The sequence below is a fragment of the Homo sapiens genome, chromosome 1 (assembly GCF_000001405.40).
Source record: "Homo sapiens chromosome 1, GRCh38.p14 Primary Assembly".
NCBI classification, from domain to species: domain Eukaryota; kingdom Metazoa; phylum Chordata; class Mammalia; order Primates; family Hominidae; genus Homo; species Homo sapiens.
Genome location: NC_000001.11, coordinates 57,587,092 through 57,606,869, shown reverse-complemented (window position 1 = coordinate 57,606,869; position 19,778 = coordinate 57,587,092). Strand labels below are relative to the sequence as shown.

Sequence of the window (19,778 nt, the reverse complement as noted above, 5' to 3'; positions counted from 1 at the left end):
TGCAGTGAGCCGAGATCGTACCATTGCACTCTAGCCTGGGCAACAAGGGTGAAAATCTGTCTCTCTCTCTCTCTATATATATATGTATAAAATATATTTATATATAATATATAGAATATATTTATATAATATATATTTCATATAAATATATTTCATACATATATATTTCATATATATATTTCATACATAATATATATTTCATATATATTTCATACATAATATATATTTCATATATAATATATTTCATATATTATATATTTCATATATATAATATATAATATATTATATTATATATTTCATATATAATATATAATATATTATATTATATATTTCATATATATTATATATTATATATATTATATTATATATTATATATTTCATATGTATTATATATTTCATATGTATTATATATTTCATATATATTATATATGAAATATTTTATATATGAAATATATATCATATATATAATATAATGTGTATATATATATATATAGGATTAGAATGGATGACTGACTGAAGAACTTTAGATAAGAATGCAAATCGCTCTTTGAGGATGATGCGGTCGCAAGTGGTGTGGGGCTATCATCCGCCGACTCCTGCTCCTGGCTCACCACTGTTCACTCTCACTGAGGAACAAGTTGATCAGGAAGCCACACAGCTTCCATGACTTTTAAAAATACCGGAAAAACACTCATGGAGCCGGAGGTGGCAATTCACCAAATTTGCATCACTTTAAGGAGCTGCAGTGTAAAATCCCAGGAGATGGTATGTGCTGACTTGATCAGAGGAGCAAAGGAAAAGAATATCAAAGGGAAAGGACCAGTTTGAATACCTACCAAGATTCTGAGAATCACTACAAGAAAAACTCCTTGTGGTGAAGGTTCTAAGACATGAGGTCGTTTCCAGATGAGAATCCACAAGTGACTCTTTGACTTGCACAGTCCTTCTGAGATTGTTAAGCAGATTACTTCCATCAGTACTGAGCTAGGAGTTGAAGTGGAAGTCACCGTTGCAGATGCTTAAGTCAACTGTCTTAATAAATTGATTACTGGTTGTTTAAAATAAAAAAAAAAATGCAAATCATGAATATGGTACCCAAGGCCATCAATCAGGATTTCAGTTTAGGGATTAAACTGTGTTTAGAAGAAAACATCAGTGTTCAGTGATACTAACTGAATAAAGAATTCAGTTGTTCTATTGTTCTTAAGATCATAAGAAACCTGTTGGATCTAGGCAACATGGAAGGGAATTCTCATAAAAACACAGTCCATGGCAAGAAGTGGAACTTGCACTTGGAGTAAAGAAAATGTGTCAGTAAAGCCTTTTTCACTTAAAATAGGGCTGCAGTATTTTCTCTCTGGTGCCAACCCTTGAAACACTGCTGTAAAGGATGGGTCGCACATTTGGTTTCTTCCTATAGTTTACTGTATGTCCTTGAAGGGCCAGACCCTTGACAGTTTCTGGGTAAATAGCCATGTGAAACAGAGGCCTCCGATCTACTCTCAACATGATTTGCATTTTATTTAACACTCATTTACTGAACACCTGCTACAAGCAACACCAACACCCTAGAAGAATGTGGAGATAAATGATAATTCCTGCCCTCCAGACTCTCACAATCTACTGGGAAGACAGAAATAAATAACTCTGGGAGCAGGCCAACGGTGATAGATGCTCCACTAGGCATGGAAAGACAGTAGGAAATAGGAGGAAAGAAAATTATTTCAACTCAGGATTCATTGTCTCCTTCTCATTTTAAAGTTCTTCTTCCAAACATCATCTCCCCAGAGTGGTTCGTGCACCCCACTTCCCAAATAACTTTATTTCATTAGCCTGTTTTATATTCTTTATGGCAATTCTTATTATTAAGGATTATCTTTATTATTTATTTTTATAATCACATGTTATTTGGAAAGAGTTGTCCAAGCCACCAAGATACAAGAGATAGGATATTTCAAGTAAGGTCTCAGGTCTGGGTAACAACTAGCAAGGAAAATATGTAAAAATTGTTTACACAACTCCTATGGGTCTCACCAACACTAAGAACATGCAACAGTTCAGTTATCACAGGTTGGAACAGGATTTTTGAAGAGGGACTTCTTTGCTGAGAATGGAGTCCCATTTCCTCCATGCGGAGGAGTGGCCATGTCTCCCTGACACACGAACCCTAGTGAAGCGGCTTCAAGTGAACACCTGGAGAGGTTGAATATGTTGGAGTTCTCTAATGTGACATCACAAGCTACCCCAAAACTTAGTGACTGTATTTATTATTGCCATATTTTCTGGCTCTGTGGGTCCGTAGTTTATAAAAGTACATCGGAGAAGTATCTGCTACAAAATGATGTCTGAGATCTCCGCTGGAATAACTTAAACAGCTGGGAACTAACCAGGAAACTGTGACTGTCTCTGTTTCCCCTGTTCTTTCATGTGGCTAGCATGGGCTTCCTCTTTTTTTTTTTTTCTTTTATAATAAAACAAGCAATAAATTTCAAAACCTGTTAGTTTTCTACATAATTTTAAAGGTGATACAGCACCTTCACCTACATAATCTCATGGAGTAAACACAGCAGCACAGATAACTTATTTTCGGTTTCACAAATGAGGATGTTGAAGCTCAGTGTGGCTAGAAGCAACTTGCATCAGGTTTTGGAGCCTAGACTTGAACCAGCTTTTTGACTCCACTTCCAGTGTTCACTTCAAGCCTTCTCACTGGCATTTGTGCATTCCACAAACACCACCTCCCATCAGACACACTGAAGTCTTATGGAGTCATACCCATTGAGGTGACAGGAAGCAGCAGCGCATGGCTTCTTCAGGGCAGTGGAGGCCCCCAGCTCCCCAGGGAAACGCCAGCATGTGCTGACCTTGAGAAAATTATGGCTGCAGCTAGAGAAACAGGTATCAGCATTCATAGAGGGATTTGGGAATGAGAAGTGTGGTAACGGTCGGGTTTAATACTGTGTGCACACTTCTGATGAATATGCAAATGTGGCTGGTACCAGAAGCAGGAGGCGAATAGCATTTACTAAACAGCAGTGCTAAACCACTTTGAAAGGGGTGTGTCAGAAGCATGGCAATGAAATTAATCCTCTTCACCTGTGAATTTTCAGGGCCTTTGGGTACCATCCAAAAACATCTGACTTGAGTTTGCTTTGCTTCGAGCCTCTTGTGTAAACTTGATCTTAATGGAGAATGAAGCTTCAGAAACTGATACAAAATAGGAAGGGGTAAAAGGCACAACTATAAATTTGCCCAATTAAAGGACTGCAGGATCAGGGCACTTCGGTTGTGCCTGCCCACCTGGGATGATGGTTGTGGGACACCTTAATGCCTGATGTGGTCCCCGCTCAATTGATTTATCAAACAGGAAGACTGATAATTGTTAGATGGTCAGAGTGATGAGATCAGGCTTCACGCTATCTGACAGAAGAGCTGTAGATAGAAGGCACTGAGTTTAAGTGTTCAAGGGAGAGTTGTCTCTTCCGGGCTATAGGAAAATAAAGACCGCCTGCCAGAAAAGAACTCTAGACCAGATCTCAAAATAAAGATGAATAGAGAGGATCCCTTACTGACAGGCACTGTGCCACCTACAGGGTACAGAAATGAGTAAGTCTCATGCCTGTAATCCCAGCACTTTGGGAGGCTGAGGCAGGCGGATCACCTAAGGTCGGGAGTTCGCGACCAGCCTGACCAACATGGAGAAACCCCCCTCTCTACTAAAAATACAAAATTAACCAGGCGTGGTGGTGCATGCCTGTAATCCTAGCTGCCCCGTAGGCTGAGGCAGGAGACTCGCTTGAACCCAGGAGGCGGAAGTTGCAGTGAGCCGAGATCGTGCCATTGCACTCCAGCCTGGGCTATTCAGAAGATGTTCACCCTCTCTGTGGGGAGTCCCTCATTTATTCACATGTAGTTTGTGGTGATCATTTGCTATATGGGGCCACCTAGCACTCATGCCCCCTCTATTTGGAAATAGCACCCCAAGTTCCTTTTTCCCCTTGGGAGCAGTCAGAAGGACTAACGTTGAAGATGCTCTGCCCTCAGTGCTCTGGGTGGCTGACCCAGACCCCACTCCCCTCCACACACACACAGCATTCAAATCTAGAATGCTCTATAGCACTGATGGGAAGACATTGGAAAGGATTCCTCTAAATTTGGTCTATCAGTTCTTGCCTCTTAGGTACCTTAATCTGTCCTAGCTTTCATTTTTCTATAAGCCTGGTCCTGCAGCCTCATTGCCAAACTTCTAACTACCTGGTCTTTTCCCAGTAAGTTCGTGTTTCCATTTAAGCTAACCAAAATCCATTTCTGTTGCTTGCAGCTATGCAATCCTAACATACTCACCCTCATCCTTTCATTAACTCTCCTTCACCAAGAAACATTTTTCCAAGCAGGGTTAGGATGACCTCCTTAGGAAGCTCAACACCTAGGAGGAAAATGAGTCAGTGACTCATCGTATACCAGAGGATCTGGGCTGAAATCAGGACAAGAACAGAGAAATATTATGGGAACAATATCAAGGAAACTGAACTCTCTTGTGAATGTGAGAAAACTTCACAAGGATCATCGTATCTATCCTACCTTTTAAAGGGTGAGCATAGGTATGCCAGATACAGAAATGTGGAAAGTGCTTAGGCAAGGGAAATCATAGACATAAAAGCTAGGAAGTATTACTTGAGCACAGATTAGGAGATTTATGGAAGAAAAGATGATAAAGGAAAATAATATTTATACAGCAATCAAAAGTAGAAACAATACTATTTACCCTATTTTTTTATGCAATGAATTTTGAGTCTCAAAATGTTAAAAGACTTTCCCCAAATTACACAGCTATAAAGCTATACGAGACTTCTAATCCTATCTCCTACACACCTCAGAGCATTTCTGTAAGAATCAAATGGAATCAGGCCCATTTGTTCTCATGTCTGTCTTCCTGTCTAAACTGGATCAATCCTCATCATGAAAGATGATGACACATGGTTCATTTTCTTTTCTCTTTTTAAACCCTGGAAATTAGCACAGTGCCTTGTACACACACACACACACAAAAATAGTGTGTTTGTTGAATTAATTAACAAATACTTATCAATAAGAAAAACAACAAATAACATTTGGAGAGCTTGTAATAATTAACTTGGTCTCATGGTGAGTCATCAGTCCTATAAAGTGCTTGTAGACAGAATGATCTTACTTTCCCAAAGTACCTACCATGGATAGCAAAATATGTCTCATTATTAACATCCTCATTTTTCATTTTTTTAACTAATTAATTATTTTGAAAAGGAGTCTTGCTCTGTCGCCCAGGCTGGAGTGCAGTCTCCAGCTGGAGACTCCAGTCTGGAGGCGCAATCTCAGCTCACTGCAACCTCTGCCTCCCAGGTTCAAGCAATTCTCATACCTCAGCCTCCCAAGTAGCTGGGATTACAGCTACCACCATGCCTGGCTAATTTTGTATTTTTAGTAGAAAGGGGTTTCGACATGTTGGCCAGGCTGGTCTTGAACTCCTGGCCTCAAGTGATCTGCCTGCCTTGGCCTCCCAAAGTGCAGGGATTACAGGTGAGAGCCACTCACCTGACCCCTATTTTTCAAATAAAGAAGCTGAAGCTTAGAAATTTCAGAAGTGTAAATGCTAGCTCAATTATGGAGATCTGGAAAGGCAGTCTGTGGAGTCTGGATTGACTCTCTCGGGAAGTATAGAGACCCTAAAGGTGGATGAACTGATAGCCTCCCACCCCATCAAAATACAAGGCATAAACATGTATGCAGTGTTTTTTATCTTATAATATCGGCAAATTGAAAAATTGAGTCTCTCTGCATGGAAAAGGAAAAATAGCACTAGGCATCATTTAAAAAAAAACTCTCTTTTTAATTAAAATTAAATGTCCACTGTAAGAAAAAAACAAGTGGTGAGCAACAAATACCCACAGCCTTGTTTAACCACCTGTGATGAATTATAATTAGGATTTGAAAATTATTGAACTTTTTTCCCCCTGTTCACCTTGGCGCTCTGAAGGTGAATTTCCAAGAGTGCAGGAGGAATGAATATTAAAAAGTTTGTTTTATACTTGAATGCCAGAGCTCCCATCTCATTTTTCCATTAAAGCTCAACTTTTGAAATTTTTCGCTGCTTTGCAATAATTACATCTTCAGGCTGACAACTCATTACATGACAATGCTTATGCTAATTCAATTCTATAGGCGCTAGGAAAGGAAGGCACTGGCTTTCAGTGACTGGGATTTAGAAAGGGGCTTCCTCTCTGTGGTTCAAAGAGGCCCTGCCTTAACCCATCCCGACCCCCCAGGGCTCTAAGCATTTTGCATTGACAAGGCTGGATTCTGGTAGTTTCCTGACCCACAAGCAGCATTGGCTATGGTACCCTTGCTCCCAGGCACCTGGTAGCTGGTTGATTTTATTTTAAGTCCTGCTTTGTTCTAGAAAGGCTGGAAATGAAATTATTTGTGTAAAGCTTTCCGTCTCAACAATGGGACAAGCCCATTTGTCTTGCTCGCCCTGGAGTGGTGAGATTTTTTATTTTTCTCTAGACTGTTATTGTTATTCTGATCGATTCCATTTACAGCTATTATTTGAGTTCCTACTCTGTACCAAGCCTTGGAATGTGTGAGCGAGATGATGGTGAACAAGACCCCAGATGTAGCTCCTGTCTGCACTGAGCTTGCATCCTGTTGGGGGATGCAGACATGGCAAAAGAGTAGACAATGGCACAACACAGTGAGTTGCTCCCCAGTCTAGTAGGATCACTAAGGGGGCACAGAGACATGGCCTGGTGATGGGGTGAGGTGGGGCAGGACTTCCTCGAGAAGGTATCAAATGTGAGACCTGATCTGAGACCCGAAAAATGAGCTTTAGAGGGCCAGAGGACATGAGGTGTTGAGGAAATGGAGAAAGAGAATTAGCAAACACTCCTGGCAAAGCACCAGTCCAAAGTGAAGACAGAACAGTGGAGCTTAGAAAGCTGGAAATTTCTTTGCAAAGCTGGAGAGCGGAATGGAGTGTCAGGAGGAGCTATCTGAGCAATGAGGCTGGGAGAGTAGAGTGCAGATTACAAAGGGCTACAGGCACCGGGCTGGGGACCTCAGGCTATGTGCCTCCTCAGGGCTATGTACAGCCTGTTACCAAAAGTTTTAAACTGGGGAATGAGTGACTTTGCTTAAAACCCTTGAAATGCCCCATGACCAGGCAAGCACCTGCTCTCCAGGTGTTCTACATATATTATCATACTGGATCATCACACCCAACTGTCAGTAAGTACGATTATCTCCATTTTACATTTTAGAAAACTGAGGCTCAGCAGTATTTTATAACTTACTCGAGCTCCCGCTGCTGCTTGTCAGTGACAGAGTCGATTTGGTCCCACGTGGGGAGAGCTGTGGAATTCCAAGCCCAGACCCTGCATTATAACGGCTATTTCCAGCACTTCTGGAGAGGATGCCAAATGCATTCATCAGCTTTCTGAGATTCCTTAGGGAAGGGAGAGTGGAGTGTGTAGCCCTGCTTTGTGCTTTTTTTCTCTAACAGAGGGTTGTGAGAGAGAGAGCCCTGTTGGGCATAAGGAAATATGTTTTTAGTACAGGTTCTGCCACTTGCTCATAGGTCATTTCACTTTAGCTTGGTTTTTCAATTATAGAAAAAAATTATTAAGCTTCATTCCTAGAAAAAAAAAAAAAAGAAGAAGCTCAAATCAACCGGTAAGCATCAGCTCTAATAATGAAGGCTTTAAAATGCAACCAACCCTCACTTTTAGCAGGTATGAATTCTATGGTGGGTCTTGGTGGCTGGTAGAATTTAGAAGGCTAGAGGGGTGCAGAAAAAAAATAAAAACATGCCTGGAGGGACTCAGGAGAAAGGCTTAAGGTTGTGTTAATATATAAGGGAGTTGAGAGTCTTGGCAGAAACCAAATGGCTGTCAGGAACCTGGAAGGGGGAATCTGAGACCTCATGAAATGCTCAGCAAGAGTCTTGGCAGGAATTGGTGAAGCTGACCTTCGATCATATCAGCTCCTAAAGGCTGCTGAGCCCCTGGATGTAAACCTGCTCTGTTGCAGTGTCCTGCACCAACTGGCCACTCGATCTTGATTTTTTTCCCCTCATGTGGACTGGGGTGACAGAAATAAGACTGTCTCTCGGAAGCTTTCTCTGATTGCCATGCTCAGGCTAGTAAGTTGTCTTCTGAGCTGCCCCTGTCACTGCCCATACAGCCAGCCCACCAGCCTCCCTGCTAGATGGCATCTCCTTGGGAGGGTGTCTTTTCCTTTCTGTATTCCCAGCACAGTGCCCAGTATGGATTATATGAAAATCATAAGATCTGACACTTGCTGCTTGCTTTCTCCCTTGCTGAGTAGGCCAGAGACTATGCTAAGAGCTTTATATAGGGTATGTCATTTAACTGTTTAAATACACCCACAAGACAGGTTCTAGTGTCATTTCTATTTTATAAGGAGGAAACTGAGGCTCAGAGAAATTAAGTAATTTGCCAAGGGGCACACAGCAAAGGAGTAACGGAGTCAGGATTATCTGTGGTCTGTGCATGGGCAGCATCACCAGGGAGCTTATTTAAAATGTGGATACCGGCTGGGCGCCGTGGCTCACGCCTGTAATCCCAGCACTTTGGGAGGCCGAGGCGGGTGGATCACGAGGTCAGGAGATCGAGACCATCCTGGCTAACATGGTGAAACCTCGTCTTTACTAAAAATACAAAAAATTAGCCAGGCGTGGTGGCGGGCACCTGTAGTCCCTGCTACTCGGGAGGCTGAGGCAGGGGAATGGCGTAAACCTGGGAGGTGGAGCTTGCAGTGAGCCAAGATCGTGCCACTGCACTGCAGCCTGGGTGACAAAGCGAGACTCCGTCTCAAAATAAAGAAATAAATAAAAATAAAAATAAACTAAAAAATAAATAAAAATGTGGATACATACCCAAGGTCTAATGAATCAGAAAATACATTTTTAAAAATCTCTAGGTGGCTTGTATGCATATTTTAAAGTTTAAGATGTGCCATTCAGGAGACTTAAAAAAATTAGTTTGCTGAATGAACAAATAATCTAAGTCTATGTCCTGGGTTCATGGCTTACTTACTCTATGGTTATGGGAAAATGGCTTTGCTAAGTCTCTTTTTTCTTCTCTGTATTAAAGAAAAAATTAGCTGTGAGGACCCAATGAGATCATGCCTGAAAAGGCTGGCCCATTCTAAGGGTGCAGTAGAAGTTACCTGTTATTGTTAGCTATTCATCTCTCAGAACCTGACTTAGCTCATAAAATGTACCTTGCAGGTGTTGGACTAAATAAAGGATCTCTGATTCTAACTTCGTAGCCTTGTGGGCCCAGAGAATCTTAAGATGGTACCATTAGGCACCATAGTTTAGAAATGTGTTACTTTGTGCTCATTAGTTTTTTTCTCCCACACTCACTGTTGTATCAAACTGCAGACAAAGCATTTTGCCTTGTCCGTTTCTTCCCAGTGCTACACAGCTAGGAAGGGAATTTTTCCCCTGGTTGACTCTTGCTGTCCTTGTTCACAGCTCTGACTCCTGCTCTCCCATTTTTCTGCAAGAGATTTCAGAAAGAAGGGCATGTTGATTTGCTGTATGGCTTCTTGATTAGATGGCAGATTTGTAACCAGGGTGGATGTGACAATCAGGCAGGCTTTGATTAGGCCTTTCTGATATGTAAATCCAGGTGGATAAGATAAGTGGCGTTAGGCTGAGGCTGGCAACAAAGGTAGGAAGAAATCCCAGGTGACTGGAATTAAAGAACTGTCTGAGCTGAGCGGGGGTGTTGGTGCGAATGATGTGAATTTCAAAGGGCCTGGGATAAACACTCACTTTCAGATGGGCTAATTTATGCAGGAAGTCATTTGAGAAACCAATTCTCTCATCCCAGAGAGTTCATAGAAGCCAGCAAAAAAATGGTTAGGCACTGGAATGTAAACATTGGTAATTAGTAATTAATGGGCACACCTACAAGGAAGGCATATGCCAAATTAAATTGATTGGTTGAATCATTCATTGATTCATTAAATAGTGTATGTAATTTTTGAGCTCCTATTCTATCCACGCGCTGTGTTTGGTGCTGGAGATTCAGAGATAAATAGGAGTAGATTCAGCCTTTTAAGAGCCCACAAAGGAAGGGGATGGAATATGGCTGAAACATAATAATATTGTTGTATCCTTTCTTCATTTTTTTCTTCCTTCTTTCAATTCTTGCTCTAGGTGAGGCACTGGCTGGGCTGGAGGATACATGGGGAGGAAGACAGACCACATCCCAGTCCACCCAGGACTCCTACTCCTACACTGCTCTAGCCCCAGGGCTTCAGACAGTAAGCACCTGGCAGGCATGTAATCGGCTCTTTAAAAAAAAAAATCCATAAATGGATGCATAAATAGAGACAGCCATTAAACACATAATAATATGAGTAATTAATTATTAATTGTGCTAAGTGCTGGGGAAGACAATCTTATGTTCAGGTGCTCGGAGTAAACAAAATGGTGACTTAATCCCCCATCAGGGATACAGAGAAATCTTCCCCAGGGAAGTGACAATTAAAATAACACCTGAAGGTGAGTAGCAGTTAGCCAGGCCATGTTTAGGAATTTGGAATCAATGCCAAACCTCCTAACAATAACTACACATGGCAGAGCTCCACCACAGCTCAACAGGGGACTTTCAGAAGAATGTTCGAATGGTGTCCCTTGGAGTTCTGCAAGGAGAGGGTCTATGCCTCCCAGTGATACCTAGAGAATCAGCCTAACAAAGGCAGAACAAGAACCTGTTAAAGGACAGTGAAAGTGGAGGGCTTGCATAGAAAAAAACAACAAATAAAACCAAGGTGTATAGTCTGTTCTTACATCACTATAAAGAAATGTCTGAGACTGAGTAATTTATAAAGAAGAGAGGCTTAATTGGCTCACAATTCTGCAGGCTATACAGGAAGCATAGCAGCATCTGCTTGGCTTCTGGGGAGGTCTCAGGAAACCTACAATCATGGCGGAAGGGGAAGGGGAAGCAGGCACATCCTACATGGCCGGAGGAGGAGGAAGAGAGGTGGGGAGGTGCTACACATTTCTAAACAACCTGATGTCATGATAACTCACTCATTCACTATCATGAGAATAGCACTGAGGGGATGGTTTCAAGAGAAACCACACCAGGGATCAAATCACCTCTCACCAGACCCCACCTCCAACACTGGGATTATTATTCTATATGGGATTTGGGGGGTGGGGGGGGAACACAGATCTGAACCATATCACAAGGCATGGATTTGGAGCCAGAGGAACCTGCAATTGAGTCTTAGGACAGCCACTTGCTCATTTCAAGTGTGACCCTGGACAAATTATCCCACATCTCTAAGCCTCCCAGAGAAGGAGAGTATACATGATTCTTTGTGGACAAGGCTACGTCTACTGCTTACCACATAGCAGGTGCTCACTTTCCTTTCTTTGCTCTAAATTAACCTAGAGATAGCCCCAGGACCAGGGTTAGATTGAGAGATTTGGGGGCCCAAAAAAGCTGATATCCTTTCACAATGACTTTTCTAAAATAATTATTCTAAATAATTATTCCAAAAAATTTAGAATCTAAAAAAAATCTAGAATCTAAAAAAAATTTAGAATCTAAAAAAAATTTTAGAATCTAAATAATTATTCTAAATAATTCTAAAAAATCTAAAATAATTAATGGAAGTGGGTAGAAACAGATTTTTTTAAAAACAACAACTATATTCAAAATACAGTTTTTCAGTATTTACTTAATGGAAGTGGGTAGAAATGGATTTTTAAAAATCAACAGCTATATTCAACATGTAATTCTAACACTTGGAATTGTGTTAGAATTGTGATTTTTCCGGCCAGGTGTGGTGGCTCACGCCTGTAATCCCAGCACTTTGGGAGGCTGAGGCGGGTGGATCATGAGGTCAGGAGATCGAGAACATCCTGGCTAATACAGTGAAACCCCGTCTCTACTACAAATACAAAAAATTAGCCAGGCGTGGTGGCAGGCGCCTGTAGTCCCAGCTACTCGGGAGGCTGAGGCAGGAGAATGGCGTGAACCCGGGAGGCGGAGCTTGCAGTGAGCCGAGATGGCGCCACTGCACTCCGGCCTGGGTGACAGAGCAAGACTCTGTCTCTAAATAAATAAATAAATAAGTATATAAATAAATAGAATTGTGATTTTTCTGATCCCCTAAACGTCTTGGATTGAAAATTTAGAACAAAAGAAATCATTTTTCCTGGGTAAATAGCATTGAGCTTAGGATTATTCTGTTTCAGAATTTCAGCTGACATTTGGCTGGTGATTTCAGGTGACTCCTAGTTGGCTGGTCTCATGGTCCATGGAGGGTGATGAAGAGATTTATGACCTTGCTGCTTTTCAAATGGGGGCACCCTGGACAGTCACCCTACTGGCTGTGGTCTCAATCCGGTTCTAAAGTCCTTGAGGAGAGAAGTAAACCCAGGGTGCTCCAGAAACAGACCTGGTGGCTTCATTTGTTAAAATCCTGCGTGTCACGTCTCAAATCCGTGATTCTTTTGCCCAAAGACGAAGACATAGCCTAAGGCAGCCTTGAAAAATGAGTGTGCTTTCTCCTCAGAGTCCTTCTTTTCCATTTCCAGATGTTCCTATTTGGAAATCTTTCATAGCTTTCATATGTAGAGCACAAGAATACCCTATGGGGCAAGTGGTCATTAGCAAGTTGTGTACTTTTATTTCCATGTAAGGGGAAGTCAGTCTCTTTCAGAGGAGTAGGACAGTAATATTCATCTTCAGTTTTGCCTGCCTTTCATCTTCTGATAACAGAATCCCTCTTTCTTGAGGGGAACCTATTCTGAGTAGTTCATGGTATTCATCCTTCCTATCCATCATAGGCAAGGCATACAACCCAGGCTTGGCCAGTTAGAGGACAGCTTTCTCCGTAACCATAATGATTGGCTCAGAGTTTGACCAATTAGAGCATTTGCTCAGACTTCTGCTAGAACTTTTGGGAATATGGCATTCTCTCCCCTCTAAGATTCCTAGTTGTAAAGACGAGGTTAGCCAAGAGTTGTGCCACATATGTGTCGCTATTTAGCAAAAGCTGACCTTACAGAAGTAAAGTAAAGCAGAGTGTCCACTGATGGAACCCTTTTTTTAAAATCCTGATGATGTCATTTGGGCCTTCATGACAGGCACTGCTGTCCTGAAGTTCCCTGTGTGCCAAAAAATAATCCTCCTTTTTCTGTGCGTCTTTTATAGCTATCTTGAAGAATAATTGACATACTATTGTCTGCATATATGTAAAGTATACTATTTGATAAATTTTAACATTTGTGTACACTTATCAAGAAGCCATTGCCATAATCACAATCATAAACTTCCATGTATGGTTTTTAAAAACTAGTTTGATTTGTGCACCCATGGTCACAGCAACATTATTCACAGTACCAAAAGGTGGAAGAACCCAAGTGTTCATTGATGGATGCATGGATAAAGAAAATGTGGTCTACATGTACAGTAGAATATTATTCAGCTGTGAAAAACAAAAAAATTCGGACACTTTCTATAACATGGATGAACCTTGACATTATGCCAAGTGAAATAAGTCAGCCACAAAAGGGCAAACAGTGCATAATTCCACTTATATGAAGTACCTAGGGAAGTCAAATCCACAGGTCCTGAAAGTAGAATGGTGGTTTGGAGGCTGTCAGGGGCTGGGGAGAAGGAGGAATGGTACATTATTTTCCATGGGTACAGAGTTTCAGTTTTGCAAGATAAGAAGAGTGCTGTGGATGGAGAGTAGTGATGGTTGCACAACAATGTGAACGTACCTAATGCCACTGAACTGTGCACTTACACATGGTTAAGACAGTGTTATGGACTGAACTGTGTCTCTCCAACATTCATGTATTGAAGCCCCAACCCTCAGTGTGACTACATATAGAGACAGGGCCCTGTAGGAGGCAAGTAAGGTTAAATGAGGTCAGAAGAGTACCAGAGCTCTCTCCATGCACACAGAGAGGAAAGACAGAGTGAGGACACAGCGAGAAGGTGGCCACCTACAAGCCAGGAAGAGAGCCCTCACCAGACACTAACACTGCTAACACCGTCATCTTAGACTTGCAGCTTCTGCAACTGTGAGAAAGTACATCTGTGTTGTTTTAGCCAACAAGCCTGTATTATATTGGTGTAAATGTAATTGTGGTTTTTGCCATTAAAAGTAATATTTTATTCTGGCAGCCCAAGCTGTCTACTACAGACAGAAAATTTTATGTTCTGTGTATTTTACCACTGTTAAAAAAAAAAAATCTAGTTTGACTTGGTTTTCTATTGTCTATGACCTGAAGACTCCTCACTAATGTGGCAACCAATTTAAATTTCATCAGTCATATCAAGAATCCCACGTGGCATCTGTGTTAATTGGAATAATATTTCCATTTTTTTTTTCTATGAGGCCTTGCTGCTTTTCAAATGGGGGCACCCTGCACAGTCACCTGACTGGCTGGGCTCTCAATCCGGTTCTAAAGTCCTTGAGGAGAGAAGTAAACCCAGGGTGCTCCACAAACAGACCTGGTGGCTTCATTTGTTAAAATCCTGTGTGTCACATCTCAAATCCATGATTCTTTTGCCCAGAGATGGCTTCCCAGAAGACATAGCCTAAGGCAGCCTTGAAAAATGAGTGCTCTTTCTCCTCAGAGTCCTTCTTTTCCATTTCCAGATGTTCCTATTTGGAAATCTTCCCTTATCTGCCTCCTTAAGTGCCAACACTCAGGAAGAGCCTGGCCCCACTGCTAGCCCCAGGCTTTCTGCTAAAGGGATTTCACAGTATCAAGACTAACACCTCATCCTATTAGATTGCAGAAATCCTTTCAAGGCAAGTTGGGGCTTATTTGTAACTTATCTGAGAAAAACATCACAGAGTGTATTTGTAGCTAAGGATCCTTGCGCAAGAAGGTATTAGATGAAATAACTTATTAGTTTTCTTCCTTCCCAGGATTCTCTAAAGAATGAAAGACTCCGCTACACCTACTCATTGGAGGTTTTGCTCTAGACGGTTTCCCCAGAGCCTCTGACACTGCAGACATTTGCACACCTGTCTGAGGCAGATGTGCACTGGTAGTGGCAAAAAATAATAAATTCTGCTTACTGAGAAGTATACATGCAGACACTGTAAAAAGCATCATACTTGGGTTATTTTATTTATGCCTAATAGTGATGCTGTGAAGTAGATATTATCAACCCCATTTTACAGATGAAGAAACTGAGGCTGACAAAGTCAAGCTACTTGCCTAGATTTATCCACTTAGTTGGCAGTTTCAGGATTTGAACCGAGATCCATTTGCCTCAGAACCCTGTACCATTGCTCTAGGATACACTGACCCCAGTCAGAATGTCAACTTCCCTAAAATGACATTGATTTGGGTATTACCACACCTTAGTGCTGCCTTTATGAATTTTGGCTGGTCCATTCCTTCCTGAACATTTGTGGTGATATCATAAGGAGATAATATTGATTTTCTGAACATTTCACATGGGCCAGTCACCAGGTCCTGTTCTTAATTTATCTCTAAATCTTATTATACCACTCTGCAAAAAGGTATTGTTTTCCTCATTATTCAGATAATGGAGACTGAGCATCAGAGAGGGTAGAGGGTTTGCCCAAGGTCACACAGCCAATAAGGAATGGAGTGAATTCCAGCCACATCTGTCTGACTTCACAGCTCAGGAATGCGTACTAGGCAGTGCGGCCCTTCCCTGAGAGTCGCTGCATTCAAGGGACGCTGGCATTTTCATGGCAGGTTCAGACAACAGAATCTTACCTATTTTACAGTCATTTACAAAGCAATTTCACCGTCACCTGGCTATGTATCAGAAGTTAAATTTAAAAAAATAAATTCTTGGCTCTCATCTCTAAAGAATTTGATTCAGTACTGAATTAACCAATTTTGCATAAATGGAAAATTCAGGTTAGAAAACAGAATCTAGGATGAGATGTATGTATACTTTAGGATCAGATTTTTGCCTTTGTGGTCTGTTTGCTTTTCTGAATCATATTCTAGAAGTGAAATTGTTGGTCATAGGGTAAGAATATGTGAGTGGGGTGTGTGTGTGTGTGTGTGTGTGTGTGTGTGTGTGTGTGTGTGTGTGTTACGGACTACAATGTGTTCCTTCCCACCCTCAAATTCCTATGGTAAAGCCCTAACCCCCAGCATGACTGTATTTGAAGAAGGGGCCTTTGAAAAAATAATTAAGGGGCTAGGCACGGTGGCTCACACCTGTAATCCTAGCACTTTGGGAGGCCAAGATGTGCAGATCACGAGGTTAAGAGATTGAAACCATCCTGGCCAACATGGTGAAACCCCATCTCTACTAAAAATACAAAAAACAAACAAAAAAATTAGCTGAGCATGGTGACGTGTGCCTGTAGTCCCAGCTACTTGAGAGGCTGAGGCAGGAGAATCGCTTGAAACCGGGAGGTGGAGGTTGCAGTGAGCCAAGATCGCACCACTGCACTCCAACCTGGTGACAGAGCAAGACTCCATCTCAAAATAAATAAATAAATAAATAAATAAAAGAAAAGAAAAAATAATTAAGGTTAAGTAAGATCATAAGGTTCAGGCCATAGTCCAATATGACTAGTGTCCTTATAAGAAATGGAACAGACACCAGGCGTGGGTGTGCATAGAAGAAAGACCACGTGAAGAGGCAGCAAAAGGGTTGCCATCTGAAAGCCAAGGAGAGAAGCCTTAGAAACCAGACTTGCAGACAGCTTGATCTTGGACTTCTAGCCTCCAGAACCATAAAAAATAAATTTTTGTTGTTTAACCCACTTAGTCTGGGTTATTTTTTATGATATCTCTAGCAAACTAAAATAGTATATAATTTATTTTTTGGCCCAAATTGCCTTTCATAAATTTTGGGCCAATTTGTGCTCTTTCAGGAGGGTCTAAGAGGGTCTATTTATCTCCTATACTGCTTACTATAAGGTTTTTAAAATTTTCACCAAAATAAAAAGTGTATTGTTATGTTAGCTTACATTATTTTCCCCCTATTGAAGGGGAAATATTTTCATAGTTGCATTGGCTACTTTTATTTCTTTTCTAAGTCTTTTGCTTTTTTTTCTTCTTGAGACAGAGTCTCACTCTGTTGCTGAGGCTGGTGTGCAGTGTCATGATTTCGGCTCATTGCAACCTCCCCCTCCTGGATTCAAGTGATACTCTTGCCTCAGCCTCCTGAGTAGCTGGGACTACAGGCATGCACCACCACACCTGGCTAATTTCTGTATTTTTAGTAGAGATGGTGTTTCTCCATGTTGGCCAGACTGTTCTCAAACTCCTGGCCTCAAGTTATCTGCTCATCTTGGCCTCCCAAAGTGCTGAAATTACAGGGGTGAGCCACTGTGCCCAGCCTCTTTATATCAGAGAGCTTGTCTTTTTCTTTATTGGTAGAAGCTCTTTATATATCAAATATATCATTTACATATAAAAAAATCAAAGATATTATCCTTTATCTTTCCAAAGTATAGTTGATATTTTCTCCAGGTTATTACTTATGTTTTCATTTGGTTTAAATTAAATATTACTGAGTTTATTAATTTCTCCTTTTCTGGTTTCTCTTTTTGAAATGATAAACATATGGTTTTTTTGTTTGTTTTTTGTTTTTTGAGATGGAGTTTCGCTGTTGTTGCCCAGGCTGGAGTGCAATGGCATGATCTCGGCTCACTGCAACCTCCACACCCCCAGGTTCAAGCAATTCTCCTGCCTTAGCCTATAGCTGGGATTACAGGTGTTAGCTAATTTTTTGTATTTTTAGTAGAGACAGGGTTTCACTATTTTGGTCAGGCTGGTCTCGAACTCCTGACCTCAGGTGATCCACCTGCCTCGGCCTCCCGAAGTGCTGGGATTACAGGCGTGAGCCACCGCGCCCAGCCAAACATATGTATTTTTATCTACTTTTTTTGTTCTGGACTATATTTAGGGGTAAGATATAAGGTAGTTATCTTCCCTCAACCAATGATGAACCAGTTGTGCCAATACCTTTATTTAATATTTATCCTTTTCCCCAGTTTTAAAATACCTTCTTCATTATATGCTAAAATGTTATGATATGCGTGGGTCTATTTTTGGCCTTTCAATTCTGTTCTTTTGGTCTGTCTATTTTGTTTAAATTACACATGAGCTATTGTTTTTCCTCCAGTACAATATGTATTGCTTCTAAATGCTACATAAATAAGAAAATGAGCCTCTAGATTTCAATATTTGCCAAGATTCAAATGATTTTCTTTATTTGCTCTGTGTCTTTTTCCCTAATGTAAGCAGATAAGGAGAGGACTCACTTTTTTCTTTGATGTACTCTAATGATGATAAGACTTTAACCTTCTTGGTATTCAGGATTTTAATTCTCTGGTATTTACTGAAATGTCATTAATCGTTTTGATCACAATAAACTCATTTTATAGTAATGTGGATGTCCTAAGAATTTAGATAGCACTTCCATTTTAATTTGCCAATAATTAACTTTACCATTATTTTACAGTGTTATCAGTGCTGAGAACAGAACCTTGCAGATGAACTTTAAGAAAACACCATGCCTTTGGTGGTGGTAGGGGGGTGCTGTCTAAGGGAGAAACTGTAACAGAATACAGATGTTTCCTATTGGTCTTAATGCAGCTGTGGGATGCACATTCCAGGTTAGGCTGATGCTGCCCATGGATGGAGAAATAAAAATGACCTGAATGTTTCTTGTGTGTGTAGCCAGTCTTCCTTCTTTCCCCATAAGTCATTCAGCAACCAAAGATCTCACCCAAACTTTGTGAATGGTTAATGTAATTATGTGGGGAGAGGGACAGAGAAAGACTTTAGAATTTGAGAGAGGAGAGCAACAAAGTGGCCTCAGGAGTTTCAGGGATAGTGGGTAAGGAAATGGCTATTGTCCTTGCTGAAAGTGTAGGTCCAAAAACTCACATGAGAGAAAGATCAAAATGGGACTTAATGGTGGCTTCTGTGGTACAGGGCTAGGCTGCTCACACAGCATGAGCCAACTCCTAGTATGACTGATGTCTGTCTTTTTTACCTGGGTTCAATGTCAGTTTTGACATTTATTACCTAGTGGCCTTGGGCAAGTCTCTTCACTGCTCTGAGCCTCAGTGTCTTCAATTGTGAAACAGAAATAATCATACCTCTCTTAGATAATTGAGGAGGTCAAGCAAGTATTTAAGCTGACCTGCAGCAGAGTGGCTGGAGCAGTAAATCCCTTTAAAATCATATCTTCATCATGGAGATGACTATTATAACCTTGTGGTAAGGGACCCATGGTACAATTGAGGGGGTGAGAGAATTAAGCCATAAAGATCAGGCATTGAGTCTTAACTCTGCCCTTTATTAACTGTGTGACCTGGAAAATAACATTATACAATCTTTCTGGGATAGAGTCTCCTGATAGGTAAAATGGAGACTAGTAATCCCACAGCAATCTGTGTCTCAGAGTTTTTGTGAGAATAAATTACCTAATGGTTGGGAAAGAGCTTTGAAAACCCTCTAGGTGTTATTTGCCTTTCAAATGTGGGATATTATTATCCCTTAGAGACCTCTTAGCAAGCTGTGAAACCCTGTAGATGTTGCTAGCCTTGACTCTGACATTATCTGATGGAAGAATTCTCATGGTCCCAGCAAAGAACAAGGAATAGTAGGGGGAAAGTTAATGTGAGCAAGATTTTTACTCATTTAGGAAGAACTTTCAAACAACTGGGGATATGTGATAGAATTCATTTGGGAAAATTTTCCAAATAGCCTG

The 19,778-nt window shown here is 41.0% G+C and overlaps 1 protein-coding gene and 1 pseudogene across 4 annotated transcripts in view, besides 2 other annotated features; both read left to right on the top strand.

Moving 5' to 3' along the window:
• Positions 1 to 19,778, top strand: part of DAB1 (DAB adaptor protein 1) — a 1,551,949-nt gene that overhangs the window by 939,857 nt on the left and 592,314 nt on the right. The window lies entirely within an intron of this gene.
• Positions 542 to 1,050: an enhancer, noted in NCBI's record as "NANOG hESC enhancer chr1:58071492-58072000 (GRCh37/hg19 assembly coordinates)". NCBI's record gives its function as "activates a minimal SCP1, AML or CMV promoter by ChIP-STARR-seq in primed H9 embryonic stem cells {active_cell/tissue: H9 hESC(primed)}" and the evidence as "EXISTENCE:reporter gene assay evidence [ECO:0000049][PMID:30033119]".
• Positions 544 to 1,057, top strand: RPS20P5 (ribosomal protein S20 pseudogene 5; annotated as a pseudogene).
• Positions 8,610 to 8,775: a silencer, noted in NCBI's record as "fragment chr1:58063767-58063932 (GRCh37/hg19 assembly coordinates)". NCBI's record gives its function as "represses an EF-1alpha promoter that drives an FKBP-Casp9 reporter gene in an ReSE screen in HepG2 liver carcinoma cells {active_cell/tissue: HepG2}" and the evidence as "EXISTENCE:reporter gene assay evidence [ECO:0000049][PMID:32094911]".